The 16106-nt window shown below is 36.4% G+C and overlaps 1 protein-coding gene across 9 annotated transcripts in view; it reads right to left on the bottom strand.

Annotated features, from left to right (window-relative positions):
• Positions 1-16106, bottom strand: part of ANKRD30B (ankyrin repeat domain 30B) — a 192964-nt gene that overhangs the window by 131514 nt on the left and 45344 nt on the right. For 8 of the 9 annotated variants that reach the window (XR_007066151.1, XR_007066152.1, XR_935057.3 and 5 more), the window contains exons 17-26: positions 13373-13401; positions 13207-13279; positions 11933-11961; positions 11768-11840; positions 10493-10521; positions 10327-10399; positions 7344-7405; positions 5798-5888; positions 1043-1071; positions 878-950 (exon numbers count right to left, since the gene is read on the bottom strand). Coding sequence is in view for 4 of the 9 variants with exons in the window: in NM_001367607.2 (NP_001354536.1) it covers positions 878-950; positions 1043-1071; positions 5798-5888; positions 7344-7405; positions 10327-10399; positions 10493-10521; positions 11768-11840; positions 11933-11961; positions 13207-13279; positions 13373-13401 (561 nt within the window). In the remaining 5 variants the exon portion in view is untranslated. The remainder of the gene's footprint in view (positions 1-877; positions 951-1042; positions 1072-5797; positions 5889-7343; positions 7406-10326; positions 10400-10492; positions 10522-11767; positions 11841-11932; positions 11962-13206; positions 13280-13372; positions 13402-16106) is intronic. The other variant, NR_160272.1, reaches the window with a different exon arrangement.

The raw sequence follows: 16106 nt of genomic DNA, 5'->3' as shown, positions 1-16106 counted from the left end.
ATTCCTATCCCAGAAAGGCATATGTTCATAGCTCTGGGAATGGAATGCTACCCTTGTGGAGAGCCTATAAACAGATGCATGGGGGGTGCCTGTCCATATGGATAAGATAGTGCTATGAACGCCCTCATCTCGCCATGGCTCTTCTAGGCCTCTTTAGGGTTAAGGCATACTCCCTTCTGAGAATTTCTGGTCTAACCAGTTGTCTAGCTTCACATTGTGTTTCTATGGATTGTTTCTAACCAGCTTTTGCTGCAACTGTTACTGCTGATTAATATCTTGCTAATCATAGGTTATGGAAAGACTGTGTTTCTTTTTTAAGGCTCTGTTAGAAATTACCGATGCACACACTATATTGTAAATTCTTATCCCTGTGTACTGTATTTCTGCATACAGATGTTAGTTAAAGAATTACTTCATCCCCATGTGACCATCTCACCTCAAAATCAAATGACCCTAAATCCCTCATTAACCCACCCCCACCCTCACTAAACTTAATAGTAAATGCGGGTATATCTAGTGAATTGTTGGCACCACGGGAACACAAGGCTGTGATTCCCCTGGACCCAGCTTTCACTATCTTGTCTGTGTCTATTCTTTCTCAACCTGCCGATCCACCTGGGAACAAAGACAAGGCCCCATTGCATTGCAGGCTGCTGGACAGATATCCACATGAGGCAAAGCTGAATTTTTTTTATCTCTAAATCTTATGCTTCTAAATGACATTTTCTCAAACATAAATACTAACATTTGCATTATTTGTATCAAATTTTCCCACCAAATTTTCTAAAGAAAACAACATTGGGAATAAAAGGCTCTTGGCATTTCAAATAGTTTAATATTCTTAATTCCAGATTAAAATTTAAATTACAAAATTTACCTGCTTTGAGTGTTTCTCTGTCCTTTAATTCTAAGGCTTTATTTGGAAGAGAAACTTTCCTTCCACAGGTAGGCTAAATGGGTTTGGAAACACAAAAATTAATATATAATGTATACTTCAAAAATATGTAGTTAATATTCAACATAGAAATATAAAAGTAATTACCTTCAGAAGACCATCTTTATCAGGAGACTCTAAAAGAAAAGGGACATATATAATTGATTATATGCAAGCCTGACAAAGCCTACCAAGCATTCGTACAATGTGAATATGAAGATGAGTCCTCATGCTTGGATTGAAAAGGGATTACACTAGGTTTTGGGGTCTTTTGGGTTTTTGTATTTGTTAACATGCCAATGGGACAGAAATATACTTAAGAAAATTTAAAAAATAAATTTCATCAAACGTGCTATGAAGATTTCAACAGTCAAAATATATTTCAACTGACAATAACTAAAGTAGAAAAATCCTAATACCAGTAAGATTAATCTGCCGTATAGGGAAAGAAGTTGAATTTATTAAGATGACCAAGTCATGACCCCCCGCCAAAAAAAAAATAAGTCCTAGGTAATGGTAGAATGCTATGACATATTGTTAAGGAAACACATCAGAATCTCTTATGTCAATATACTGCAAGTAGCTATTATGTTCTTCAATTTGTCCTGTAATTTAAGAATTGCAAAGCTCCGATGAGAATTCAAAGGTACAATTTACTTATCATTGCAGAGGATGTTCTAAATTTATCAGCATAAATATCTACTTATAGAATAAAAGTTATGAATATATTTATTTTTGATACTCTGTGATATAGGAGTATTTTTACATTTATGGGGTTCTCTGGTTTAGTCCTCTCAAAATTTCCTGATCCACTTATACAGAAAAGTCAAAGCACACCCATCCACAAACTAATACAGTCCAGGTGCCGTGGCTCATGCCTGTATCTCCAGAACCTTGGAAACCCGAAGAGGGTGGATCTCTCAAGGCCAGGAGTTCCAAAGCAGCCTGGCCAAAATAGCGAAACCCTGTCTCCACAAAAAATACAAAAATCATCCAGGTATGGTGGCACATGCCTGTAACCGCAGCTACTTGGGAGCCGGAGCTGTGAGAATCACTTGAACCCAGGAGGCCCAGGTGGCAGTGAGTCAAGATCATGCCCCTGCACTCCAGCCTGGATGACAGAGCGAGACTCTGTCTCAACAAAAGAAAAAACACCTGATATGAAAGTATCAAAAATTAGATGTCAATTTCCAGAGACTTTTTACATATCATTAACCTGCATATTTCAATGTTAGAATAATGGTTATTGAAAATAACAGTTTTATTGTTCAAGGAATGAATTCTACAATTGCTTTGCTTTGCTAAAACTAATTCTATTTGTTATACCATGCGAGTTGTTAAACCACTGTTATGAAAAAGCTTTTATAGAAAGCTTAGCTTCAAGAAAAAAACAGACATTTCTTTGACATAGAAATATATCTCATTTCCTCAAATAATATGAATACAACATGCTTAATCTCTCATTTTTCTCTACTTTGTTATTTTTCAGTAAGACACACTTTAATATATTTAGACATGTCAAGTATATATGTTGTTTCCTTTGGAGTTGATTGATCAGTAATGAAGACACTTCAGGGGACATAAACTCTCTAAAACACACAAAATTTATGTGCAAGCATTTTAAGGCTAAATATGCATGACCGTGTTGCAGGTATGTGTTTTAGAAAAAAAGTGCTTAAAATTGTATTCAATACACTTTAAATAAAAACCCGCTTTAATTACGATGAGAAGGTCGTTCTCGATTCATTAATATCTTTAAACTTTACTTCTGAAGCACTGAAGAAACCTCAGAAATTCGTATATAGGAAATGATACCATTAATTCATCTGCTTGTTTTAGGTAAAAATATGATAAATGTACATCCTCACTAAGTGCAAAGAAAGCAGAGTGTCATGAGATAGGAAATGAGTATGTAACCAAAATATTTTCCTTTATGAAGAAAATAGCTGGCTTTGACCTTTCTAAGACAAGATAAAAAAGCAAAACACGCAGAGATGAAACATTCAGAGCTATCTCATCATCAACGAACCGTTTATCACTTGGCATTTAGGAATCCTATTTATGGTTGAAAACTCTGGTTCTAAAATGTGATCTGATTATCCCTGAAGTTCAAAATCCATGCAGAGGAAGCAAGCAGGGAAATACTACCTTCGTTATTTTTTTAAATTACTTTCTTTTTATAAAGGGGTACACTGGAGATTTTAAAATCAGGACGGGTCACATGGCATGGCTCTAAAGATTAGTGAGCCACATTTGTAATGGCTATTGAAATGTATGGCTGTGCATCCTTGCATTTTAATTACTTCACTTTTAATTTCTAATATAGCGTGAAGTAGGACATACACTTAAACAAAGGCTTGCTGACATCTGTAATTATTATGATGCTTTTTAGTCACCATGAAGAGAGTCTAATTAAATGTGGTGGAAAGTAAAAATGCACACTATGATTTTTTTTTTCTTTTTTTTTTTTGGCGGTGTCTCGCCCTGTCACCCAGGCTGGAGGGCAGTGTTGAGATCTGGGCTGACTGTAAGCTCCACCTCCCGGGTTCAGGCCATTCTCCTGCCTCAACCTCCTGAGTGGCTGGGACTACAGGCACCCACCGCCACGCCCGGCTAATTTTTTGTATTTTTATTAGAGATGGGGTTTCACCGTGTTAGCCAGGATGGTCTGGATCTCCTGACCTCGTGATCTGCCCGCCTCGGCCTCCCAAAGTGCTGGGATTACAGGCGTGAGTCACCACGCCTGGCCTGAAATCTTTAAATAAATGAAAAACAAGCTAATCGCTGAACAAAAAATAAAAAGTTGCTGTAGAATGACAAGAACATTGTACACCCATTTATATATGATTTTTGCAAAAAATGTTAATGCCAATATGTATACGCTGAGTGATGAGGAGATAAGTGATCTTGAATCAGAGGAGCAAATCATGACACTGAGAAAATAAATGCAAAAGCTGAACGTAGAATGCTACACCATGTGTCTTTAATGCAACACATTATAATAATTTATATCATTACAAATATTCATCATGTTCTTTAATATGTCCTGTCATTGAGAAAGTACACAGTTCGGATGAGAGTTCAGCTGAATGTAGATTTGACATCTCATCAGTGAAAGTGTTATGAATTGATCAGCTTGGATATATACTTGGAGCATAATACTAAATATAAATATTCATTGATTTTCATACCCGTATGCTACAATAGTATCCAACATTTTTGTAATTTCTAGCTTTGCCATCTCAATATTTCTTGATCCACTGATGGAGGAAGATGTACAAACCTCATCAGGAACAGCAAATTTAATTGGCCCTCAATATTGATGTATTTGTTATAAATTTAGTTTCAACAGACTTATTAAATATTAACAAAATTTTCTAGGTTAAAATCAGTAAAATACCTATGAATAACAACAATTTAAGTATTCAAGTCATAAATTCAGAATTATGGTTTTTAAAATTAGTCTGGTTTGGTATATCATGTTATTCGCTAATGAGGTTTTATAAAATGGCAATTTTACCAACACAATTTGCTTCCTTAAAAATAAAGCCAAGGTTCTTACATTCTAGTATGTCTTATTCAAATTGTGAATATCAACAAAATATATACATATATATATATATTTGATGCCTCATAGTAATAAAGAAAATTAATGAGTCACTGAGGTTTAGTCCTATTCTAGTAATCCTCATGATTCCAAAAGTCTCTGGAGCACCCACACTCTAACATTCTGCAGTAAAAATATTCTAAATGCTTCCGAAGTGAGTTCACTCCATTTTCCTTCATACAAAATCCAAAATAATCTAGCTGGCTTCTCTCTTGTCCCCTGCTTCCTGCCTCATAATCTCTCTTCTTTAGCAAAAGTAATCACTAGACTTGTGTTCTTGATTCTTCCCATTCAACACACACTCTTTCCTTTTTCTTTGTATAGAAGTAGTATCTTCCATCTACAATTTCTATTCCATTGCCCCTTTCTTCTTCTCCCCTAACTAAAAACATACTCAAAAATAGGAGCACCATAATGCTTTCTCCTGACCCTTTTCTGTCCTGACCTTCTACCCAATGGCCCTTCTTCCACATTTTTTCCCACAAAGGTCTCTCATCTTGCTACTCAGAGCAAGGTCCAACGACCACCAGCATCAGCATCGCCTGACAACTTACTAAAAATGCAGAATCCCTAGTCGGCTGAATCACAGTGTGAATTGTTAACAAGGTTTTCAGACGGTTTTCTAAAGTTTGAAAACTTACGGTCTATACGGAGTGTATATGACAAATTATATACATGTGTGGCCGTGCATATATGCTTATTCTCAACTATTGCAAATAGAACACAGCTCTCCATGGTCAGCTGCTTCCATCCCTAATGGCTTCCCACCAGTGAGAAAGACAGGAAGAGTCAGAATATTTTTGCTGTAATTCTCTGGTATGTTTTGGCACTGGAAAGTCACTTTATATTCTTCCCAAATTTCTAACCATACCCGATCTTTTCCTAAAGAATCATTTCATTTTACCATCCTCCATTATATAAACCTGCCTCTTGTTCCTTCCCGTCCTCTCTGTACTCTCTGTCTTTCTCGATCTTCATTTCCTCTTTTACTACTTTCTCCTTTCTTATTTTCTCATTTTCCTCAGCTCTTGGAATACCTTGAATTCAAACTAATAATTCAGTTCCTTTCCAGCACTCTCTATGTAGTCTGCTGCCAACACATGATAAGACGTATAACTTATCACCATTTCACTTCTCTTTTTTTCCATGCTTTGCATTCAGGAGGTAATTTTCTTCAGCTATTAGGGGATATCCCTCCTCATCAGTTCAGAGAAACATTTGGTCAAATGACTTTTTAAATAAAATATGGTTCTTACCTTCTAATTTTCCACTTAAGGTATCGAATTCTTTTTGATGTGTAGCCTTGGGTAAACACACATCATTCTGTAAGAGAGTCTCAAGGAAACTCTGTTAAAAGTAATATCAATAAATAATTTCAATGGAGAAATCCCAATAATGAGGAGTATCAAAAGTTCCTAATTAAAATCTTTTCTAAAAACACAGTTTCCTACTTTACAAGGAATTCGACTTAAGAGCAGACATGTGTTGAAACCCAAAACATTCTGATAGAAAACCTCACATAACACTCTCCACATCAACTTACCTTTACGTTCATGAGGCTATTAACTTGGTTACTGAGCAGGAAAAACAAATCACACTCACGAAAGAATTCACTCGTGCATATTTCAGAAAGTAACTCTCTTAAAAATATCTAACTTGTGTTGTAGTCCTCATTAAAAGTAAATACGCCATTTCAAACAAAATACAATACACTTGCTACTAGCCATAACACGTACTGCATTAAACATTTAAAATATTCATGATCATAGATTGTTTAGTGTTAAAAATGATGCATGCCGTGAAGAGAACTTTTAGAGTCTGTCATATAATGCATGCACGGAATGTTTAAAAAGTTGCTTTATTTTGGTAAACAGGGGCTTAAAACAAGCAACATGTTTTTGACAAAATTTATGCTGATAGAAAAAGTGCTTGAAGAGAATGTAAATGCAGTAAGAAAAGAAATTATGTCATGTCTAAATGAAAGCCAACAAATATTAAAGTCTTTTTGTCTGACGACAAATCAGATAAAATCTACTTGTCTACTGACTTCCACCCTTTGCTCTTACCACCAGGCAGCAGCTGCTTGTTTCTAAGAGGTCAGATATTTTCTATGTCTTTCCACAGTTGTGACCTTAAAATACATCACTATTATTTCACACTCATGCTGCTGCAGCTTGACTGCCTGCCACAAAGGGACTCGAGGAGTTCTACTTGTGAAAATAATTTATATTTTTCAAAAGATTACTCAACCAATACTCTTGTTACTGTAGTCCCACAAGGTTTCCTAGTCCTCATGCTCCTCTTTCTCCTGAAATGTTCCCTCAGATCTATACTGAACAATACAGAAATGTCAATACATTCAAGTCCCAGGCATTAACTTTTCAGGTCCCAACTTTTACAATACTGCAGTTTAAACTGTCTCTCTACGAATCCAGTTAGAACTTTTGCACATCTAGATACACCACAGAATCATAAATTTGCCCACAGCTGGACTCAGTGTAATTCTTTTGCTTTTAGACAAACTTGCTTCAGATCCCATGTGAATTTCTAGTGACTTCTAAGCCTTATTTTTTACACTATACCACACCGGCTTCTTAAATTAAGCCTGAAAATTAGCAGAATTTCACTACGAAGCAGTCATCTACTTAGCACATAGATCCTCTATTAAGCGTATTCTGAAAAATATCAAAAATAATTTGGGAGTGACATATGCAGAGGTGAGAAAATAAAGTCTAAGCCTCTGCTTTTATGTTTTTGTATCATGCAATACTAGTATTAAAGAAAATTAATAATACACAGTACCTCAAAATCCCAAGAATTTTCTTCATCATCCTTTTGTTTGGATTCTGATGGGAACATCTGAGCTATAAAAGGTTAATCACAGATACATTCATGAGAACATTTCTCTACTATAAACTTTAAAAACATATATAAATCTACTTTCATTCACGAATCTGCGGTTTTTCCTCTGTAGCCCGTATATTCTTTTTGTTGATTACAATCACTACTTCTATAGTCAATCCGTTAGAAATGAAATCTAAAAAAACGGAAAATTAACATTATATCATTCGTTAGAATGCAGAAAAATAGAAATTTGACTAACTCGTAGAGTTATTTCTTCACAAAGCAGTTACATCCTCTTCTCCCGTGAAACACAGTGTGTCCTATACTTGCTGTTCATTCAGAAAACTTTAATTACCTATCATCTCTCACTTCTTTGTAAATTTTTATTTTCTAGTATTACTTAGTTTGATTGACTCTGCAATCTCTATTACACAGTTCTTCAAAAAAGATGATTTATCAACGAACAAGATTTTTTAGGGATATTAACTTTCTGATGTTAGTAAACTATATGTCCAACACTTTTACATTTCAATATGCCATGACAGTATATTGGGTGTGTTTTGGGTGTCTATATGTTTTAGGAAGATAAGCTTAAAAAACTTTTATTGCATATAAATTAAGAACTGCTTTAATTACAATGACATAGTTCTCCCCTAACTCAACAATGTCTTCAGAGTCAGCTTGTGACAACTAAGAGAAACATCAGAAATGTATAGGAAAAAATAATTGCCCTAAGTAATCTCACATCCCCACATGTTATAGGATAAAATCAAGGCCCACACAAGACTTGAGGAGCTCTCAGGCCAATGAGACAGAAAATGAATTTATACCAAAAATAACGTTCAGCTTTGTTTATCAACCAAAAGTACACATTACAACTCTTTGAATCAGGTTAAAGAAAAAAGCAAACATGCACGACTAAAGCCTAAAAGACTGTATCATCGTTAAAGGTACGTTTATCATTTGACATCCATCAACTGTGTATCTGGTTTTTAAAAGTAAATTTAACATGTAATCTCAGCATCCCTAAAGTTCACATTTCATGCAGAGGGACCAAGAAACTAAAATCATACTTTGGTATGCCACCATTTTCACTCATGTTTAGAAGTGTACCCTGGATCGTTTCAGAGATCTAATGTGTTGCAGTAGCATAGCTCTAATAATCTGTGGGTCGCAGTTGGAATTGTTAGTGGAATGTATGATTGCACAAGGAAATACTTTAAATATTTTAGTTTTAATTTCTCACAACTAAAAAGTCAGTAGATATAACTAACTTAAAGACTCTGAAATTTTCATGTTTTCATTTTTATTTATCAGCATAATAATTGTGTACTTAATGGAATTTTATAAACAATCTGACATTTAAAAAGACAGTTAATTGTGTCCTTTATGGACGTCTCTAAAAATTATAATGCTGATCAAAACAGAATGTTGTCAAAAATTACACTGTACAACCACCTATGCATTAGAAGTTGAAAAAAATTTTATGTATTAAATATGACCACGTACACATGTTGGAAAATGTTTAAACATGCATAAGAATACTTTTAAAAAGTAGTTTAGAATATTGGTTACTTCTAGGCAATAAATGGTACTAGTGTAAAAAGACTCTGGGCCGGGCGCGGTGGCTCACGCCTCTAATCCCAGCACTTTAGGAGGCCGAGGTGGGTGGATTACAAGGTCAGCAGGTCGAGATCATCCTGGCTAACATGGTGAAACCCCGTTTCTACTAAAAATACAAAGAATGAGCCAGGCGTTGTGGTAGGCGTCTGGATTCCCAGCTACTTGGGAGGCCCAGGCAGGAGAATGGCGTGAACCTGGGAGGTGGAGCTTGCAGTGCGCCAAGATCACACCACTGCTCTCCAGCCTGGGCAAGACAACGAGATGGGCGAGACAGCGAGACGCCATATCAAAATTTAAAAAAAAAAGAAAATTTAAGACGTCAAAACAAATTCTACACATAGTCAGAACCACACACATATGTTGTGAATTTATGGTTGTTTGCTTTTTGAGATGGAGTCTCACTCTGTCACTCAGGCTAAAGTGGCACAAGCTTGGCTCACTGCAACTTCTGCCTCATGGGTTCAAGCAATTCTCCTGCCTCAGCCTCCAGAATAGCTGAGATTACGGGCACCCACCACCACAACCGGCTATTGTTTGTTATTTTTAGTAGCGATGGGGTTTCACTGTGTTGACCAGGCTCGTCTGCGACTCCTGACCTTAAGTAATCTGCCCACCTTGGTCTCCTAAATTGCCAGGATTACAGGCATGTGCCACCGTGCACAGCCTGTTGTAACATGATTTAAACATGCATGGGAATGACAACAAAAATTAATTCAGGCTGTTTTGTACCTCTAGGCAATTAATTACAGTAGCATAAAAAGACACCAAGGCCAAAAGCTTTAGAGTCACACTTCTGAAACAGTGTATCTAGCAAAGAATCATCAAGTAATGATTTTTAAAAATTATATGTCACACACACACACACACACTCAGTCACCTAATCAGAAAAACAAGAAACTGATTTTCTTTAGATTCTCAGAGTGACAATGCTCACAACTGTCACCTCAGCAAGTGAAACTTTCCTCAAAGTAAAGATCAGAATTCCAGTCAGCATTTGAAACACTGAAAATATTTCACAGTTTCAAAATTCACCTGCCTTAAAACCGAGCACGTACAGAAATTGCAAATTGGAAACTTTATACTATCGGGATATTAAAGAAGAACCACATGAAGTAAAGCAGAATTTTTTTCTAAATCCCTATTTCTTATGCTTGTAAATGGCATTTTCTCAAACATGAATACTAATGTTGCCATTATTTTATCAAATTTTCCCATCCAATTTTGAAAAGAAAACAACATTGGGAATAAAAAGGTGCTCAGCATTTCAAATAGTTTAATATTCTTAATTCCAGAGTAAAATTAAAATTGCAAAATTTACCTGCTTTGAATGTTTCTCTGTCCTTCAATTCTAAAGCTTTATTTGGAAGAGAAACTTTCCTTCCACAGGTAGGCTAAATGGGTTTGGAAACACAAAAATTAACATATAATGTATACTTCATAAAATATGTAGGTAATATTCAAGATAAAAATATAAAAGTTATTACCTTCAGAAGACCATCATTATCAGGAGACTCTAAAAGAAAAGGGACATATATAATTGATTATATGCAAGCTTGACAAAGCCTACCAAACGTTCATAGAGTGTGAATATGAAGACGAATCCTCATGATGCTTGGATTGAAAAGGGATTACACTAGGTTTTGGGGTCTTTTGGGTTATTGTATTTGTTAACATGCCAACTGTAGGGAGACCCCCTGAAACTGTTGCTATGGAATGAAAGATGCAATGCTCCTGATTATTGTAAATACAAAATTGCATGCAGGATTGTGTAAAGACAATGCCAGGTTGGACTGCCAGAATGAGCCAACAGTGGGTGATGTGCTACCCCCTGCAGAGAGCCTGTGAATGGATGTGCCGTCAGGGAGGTTTCACATCACCAAGGTTCCTATCCCAGAAAGGCATATGTTCATAGCTCTGGGAATGGAATGCTACCCTTGTGGAGAGCCTATAAATGGACGCACGGAGGGGGGTGCCTGTCCATATGGATAAGATAGTGCTATGAACGCCCTCATCTTGCCACGGCTCTTCTAGCCTCTTTAGGGTTAAGGCATACTCCCTTCTGAGAATTTCTGGTCTAACCGGTTGTGTAGCTTCACATCCTGTTTCTATGGATTGTTTGTAACCAGCTTTTGCTGCAACTGTTACTACTGATTAATATCTTGCTAATCATAGGTTATGGAAAGACTGTGTTTCTTTTTTAAGGCTCTGTTAGAAATTACCGATGCACACACTATATTGTAAATTCTTATCCCTGTGTACTGTATTTCTGCATACAGATGTTAGTTAAAGAATTACTTCATCCCCATGTGACCATCTCACCTCATAATCAAATGACCCTAAATCCCTCATTAACCCACCCCCACCCTCACTAAACTTAATAACAAATGCGGGTATATCCAGTGAATTGTTGGCACCACGGGACGACAAGGCGGTGATTCTCCTGGACACAGCTTTCACTATCTTGTCTGTGTCTATTATTTCTCAACCTGCTGATCCACCTGGGAACAAAGACAAGGCCCCGTTGCATTGCAGGCTGCTGGACAGATATCCACATGAGGCAAAGCTGAATTTTTTTATCTCTAAATCTTATGCTTCTAAATGACATTTTCTCAAACATAAATACTAACATTGGCATTATTTGTATCAAATTTTCCCATCAAATTTTCAAAAGAAAACAACATTGGGAATAAAAGGCTCTTGGCATTTCAAATAGTTTAATATTCTTAATTCCAGATTAAAATTTAAATTACAAAATGTACCTGCTTTGAGTGTTTCTCTGTCCTTTAATTCTAAGGCTTTATTTGGAAGAGAAACTTTCCTTCCACAGGTAGGCTAAATGGGTTCGGAAACACAAAAATTAATATATAATGTACACTTCAAAAATATGTAGTTAATATTCAAGATAGAGACATAAAAGCTATTACCTTCAGAAGACCATCTTTATCAGGAGACTCTAAAAGAAAAGGGACATTTATAATTGATTATATGCAAGCCTGACAAAGCCTACCAAACGTTCATACAGTGTGAATATGAAGATGAATCCTCATGCTTGGATTGGAAAGGGATTACACTAGGTTTTGGGGTCCTTTGGGTTATTGTATTTGTTAACATGCCAACTGTAGGGAGACCCCCTGAAACTATTGCTATGGAATAAAAGATGCAATGCTCCTGGTTATTGTAAATACAAAACTGCATGCAGGATTGTGTAAAGACAATGCCAGGTTGGACTGCCAGAATGAGCCAACAGCACGTGATGTGCTTCCCCCTGCAGAGAACCTGTGAATGGATGTGCAGTCAGGGAGGTTTCGCGTCACCAAGATTCCTGTCCCAGAAAGGCATATGTTCATAGCTCTGGGAATGGAATCCTACCCTTGTGGAGAGCCTATAAACAGACGCATGGGGGGGTACCTGTCCATATGGATAAGATAGTGCTATGAATGCCCTCATCTTGCCACGGCTCTTCTAGGCCTCTTTAGGGTTAAGGCATACTCCCTTCTGAGAATTTCTGGTCTACCCAGTTGTCTAGCTTCACATCCTGTTTCTATGGATTGTTTGTAACCAGCTTTTGCTGCAACTGTTACTGCTGATTAATATCTTGCTAATCATAGGTTATGGAAAGTCTGCATTTCTGTTTTAAGGCTTTGTTAGAAATTACCGATGCACACACTATATTGTAAATTCTTATCCCTGTATACTGTATTTCTGCATACAGATGTTAGTTACAGAATTACTTCATCCACATGGGACCATCTCACCTCATAATCAAATGACCCTAAATCCCTCATTAACCCACCCCCACCCTCACTAAACTTAATAATAAATGTGGGTATATCCAGTGAATTGTTGGCACTACGGGACGACAAGGTGGTGATTCCCCTGGACCCAGCTTTCACTATCTTGTCTGTGTCTATTATGTCTCAACCTGCCGATCCACCTGGGAACAAAGACAAGGCCCCATTGTATTGCAGGCTGCTGGACAGATATCCACATGAGGCAAAGCTGAATTTTTTGTTAATCTCTAAATCTTATGCTTGTAAATGGCATTTTCTCAAACATAAATGCTAACATTGGCATTATTTGTTTCAAATTTTCCCACCAAATTTTCAAAAGAAAACAACATTGGGAATAAAAGCCTCTCGGCATTTCAAATAGTTTAATATTCTTAATTACAGATTAAAAGTTAAATTACAAAATTTACCTGCTTTGAATGTTTCTCTGTCCTTTAATTCTAAGGCTTTATTTGGAAGAGAAACTTTCCTTCCACAGGTAGGCTAAATGGGTTTGGAAACACAAAAATTAATACATAATATATGCTTCCTAAAATATGTAGTTAGTATTCAAGATAGCAATATAAAAGTTATTACCTTCAGAAGACCATCTTTAACAGGAGACTCTAAACGTAAAGGGACATATATAATTGATTATATGCAAGCCTGACAAAGCCTACCAAGCATTCGTACAATGTGAATATGAAGATGAATCCTCATGCTTGGATTGAAAAGGGATTACACTAGGTTTTGGGGTCTTTTGGGCTTTTGTATTTGTTAACATGCCAACGGGACAGAAATATACTTAAGAAAACTTAAAAAATAACCTTCATCAAACTTGCTATGGAGATTTTAACAATCAAAATATATTTCAACTGACAATAACTAAATTAGAAAAATCCTAATACCAGTAAGATTAATCTGCCGTATAGGGAAAGAAGTTGAATTTACTAAGATGACCAAGTCATGACCCACCGCCAAAAAAAAAAAAAATAAGTCCTAGGTAACGGAAGAATGCTATGGCATATTGTTAAGGAAACACATCAGAGTCTCTTATGTCAATATACTGCAAGTAGCTATTATGTTCTTCAATTTGTCCTGTAATTTAAGAATTGCAAAGCTGCGATGAGAATTCAAAGGTACAATTTACTTATCATTGCAGAGGATGTTCTAAATTTATCAGCATAAATATCTACTTATAGAATAAAAGTTTATAAATATATTTATTTTTGAACCTCTGTGAAATAGGAGTATTTTTACATTTATGGGGTTCTCTGGTTTAGTCCTCTCAAAATTTCCTGATCCACTTATACAGAAAAGTCAAAGCACACCCATCCACAAACTAATACAGTCCAGGTGGCATGGCTCATGCCTGTAACTCCAGAACCTTGGACGCCTGAAGAGGGCGGATCTCTCAAGGCCAGGAGTTCCAAAGCAGCCTGGCCAAAATAGCGAAACCCTGTCTCCACAAAAAATACAAAAATCATCCAGGTATGGTGGCACATGCCTGTAACCGCAGCTACTTGGGAGCCGGAGCTGTGAGAATCACTTGAACCCAGGAGGCCCAGGTGGCAGTGAGTCAAGATCATGCCCCTGCACTCCAGCCTGGATGACAGAGCGAGACTCTGTCTCAACAAAAGAAAAAACACCTGATATGAAAGTATCAAAAACTAGATGTCAATTTCCAGAGACTTTTTACATATCATTAACCTGCATATTTCAATGTTAGAGTAATGGTTATTGAAAATAACAGTTTTATTGTTCAAGGAATGAATTCTACAATTGCTTTGTTGCTAAAACTAATTCTATTTGTTATACCATGTGAGTTGTTAAGCCACTGTTATGAAAAAGCTTTTATAGAAAGCTTAGCTTCAAGAAAAAACAGACATTTCTTTGAAATAGAAATATATCTCCTTTCATCAAATAATATGAATACAACATGCTTAATCTCTCATTTTTCTCTACTTTGTTATTTTTCAGTAAGACACACTTTAATATATTTAGACATATCAAGTATATATGTTGTTTCCTTTGGAGTTGATTGATCAGTAATGAAGACACTTCAGGGGACATAAACTCTCTAAAACACACACAATTTATGTCCAAGCGATTTAAGGCTAAATATGCATGACCGTGTTGCAGGTATGTGTTTTAGAAAAAAAGTGCTTAAAATTGTATTCAATACACTTTAAATAAAAACCCGCTTTAATTACGATGAGAAGATCGTCCTCGATTCATTAATATCTTTAAACTTTACTTCTGAAGCACTGAAGAAACCTCAGAAATTCATATATAGGAAATGATACCATTAATTCATCTGCTTGTTTTAGGTAAAAATATGATAAATGTACATCCTCACTAAGTGCAAAGAAAGCAGAGTGTCATGAGATAGGAAATGAGTATGTAACCAAAATATTTTCCTTTATGAAGAAAATAGCTGGCTTTGACCTTTCTAAGACAAGATAAAAAAGCAAAACACGCAGAGATGAAACATTCAGAGCTATCTCATCATCAACGAACCGTTTATCACTTGGCATTTAGGAATCCTATTTATGGTTGAAAACTCTGGTTCTAAAATGTGATCTGATTATCCCTGAAGTTCAAAATCCATGCAGAGGAAGCAAGCAGGGAAATACTACCTTCGTTATTTTTTTAAATTACTTTTTTTTATAAAGGGGTACACTGGAGTTTTTTAAAATCAGGACAGGTCACATGGCATGGCTCTAAAGATTAGTGAGCCACATTTGTAATGGCTATTGAAATGTATGGCTGTGCATCCTTGCATTTTAATTACTTCACTTTTAATTTCTAATATAGCGTGAAGTAGGACATACACTTAAACAAAGGCTTGTTGACATCTATAATTATTATGATGCTTTTTAGTCACCATGAAGAGAGTCTAATTAAATGTGGTGGAAAGTAAAAATGCACACTATGATTTTTTTTTTTTCTTTTGTCGGTGTCTCGCCCTGTCGCCCAGGCTGGAGTGCAGTGTTGAGATCTCGGCAGAATACAAGCTCCACCTCCCGGGTTCAGGCCATTCTCCTGCCTCAACCTCCTGAGTGGCTGGGACTACAGGCACCCACCGCCACGCCCGGCTAATTTTTTGTATTTTTATTAGAGATGGGGTTTCACCGTGTTAGCCAGGATGGTCTGGATCTCCTGACCTCGTGATCCGCCCGCCTCGGCCTCCCAAAGTGCTGGGATTACAGGCGTGAGTCACCACGCCTGGCCTGAAATCTTTAAATAAATGAAAAACAAGCTAATCGCTGAACAAAAAATAAAAAGTTGCTGTAGAATGACAAGAACATTGTACACCCATTTATATATG

This window comes from Homo sapiens, chromosome 18 (genome assembly GCF_000001405.40).
Source record: "Homo sapiens chromosome 18, GRCh38.p14 Primary Assembly".
Classification (NCBI taxonomy): domain Eukaryota; kingdom Metazoa; phylum Chordata; class Mammalia; order Primates; family Hominidae; genus Homo; species Homo sapiens.
The sequence above is the reverse complement of the archived record's forward strand: the minus strand, read 5'-3'. Positions and strand labels throughout refer to the sequence as shown.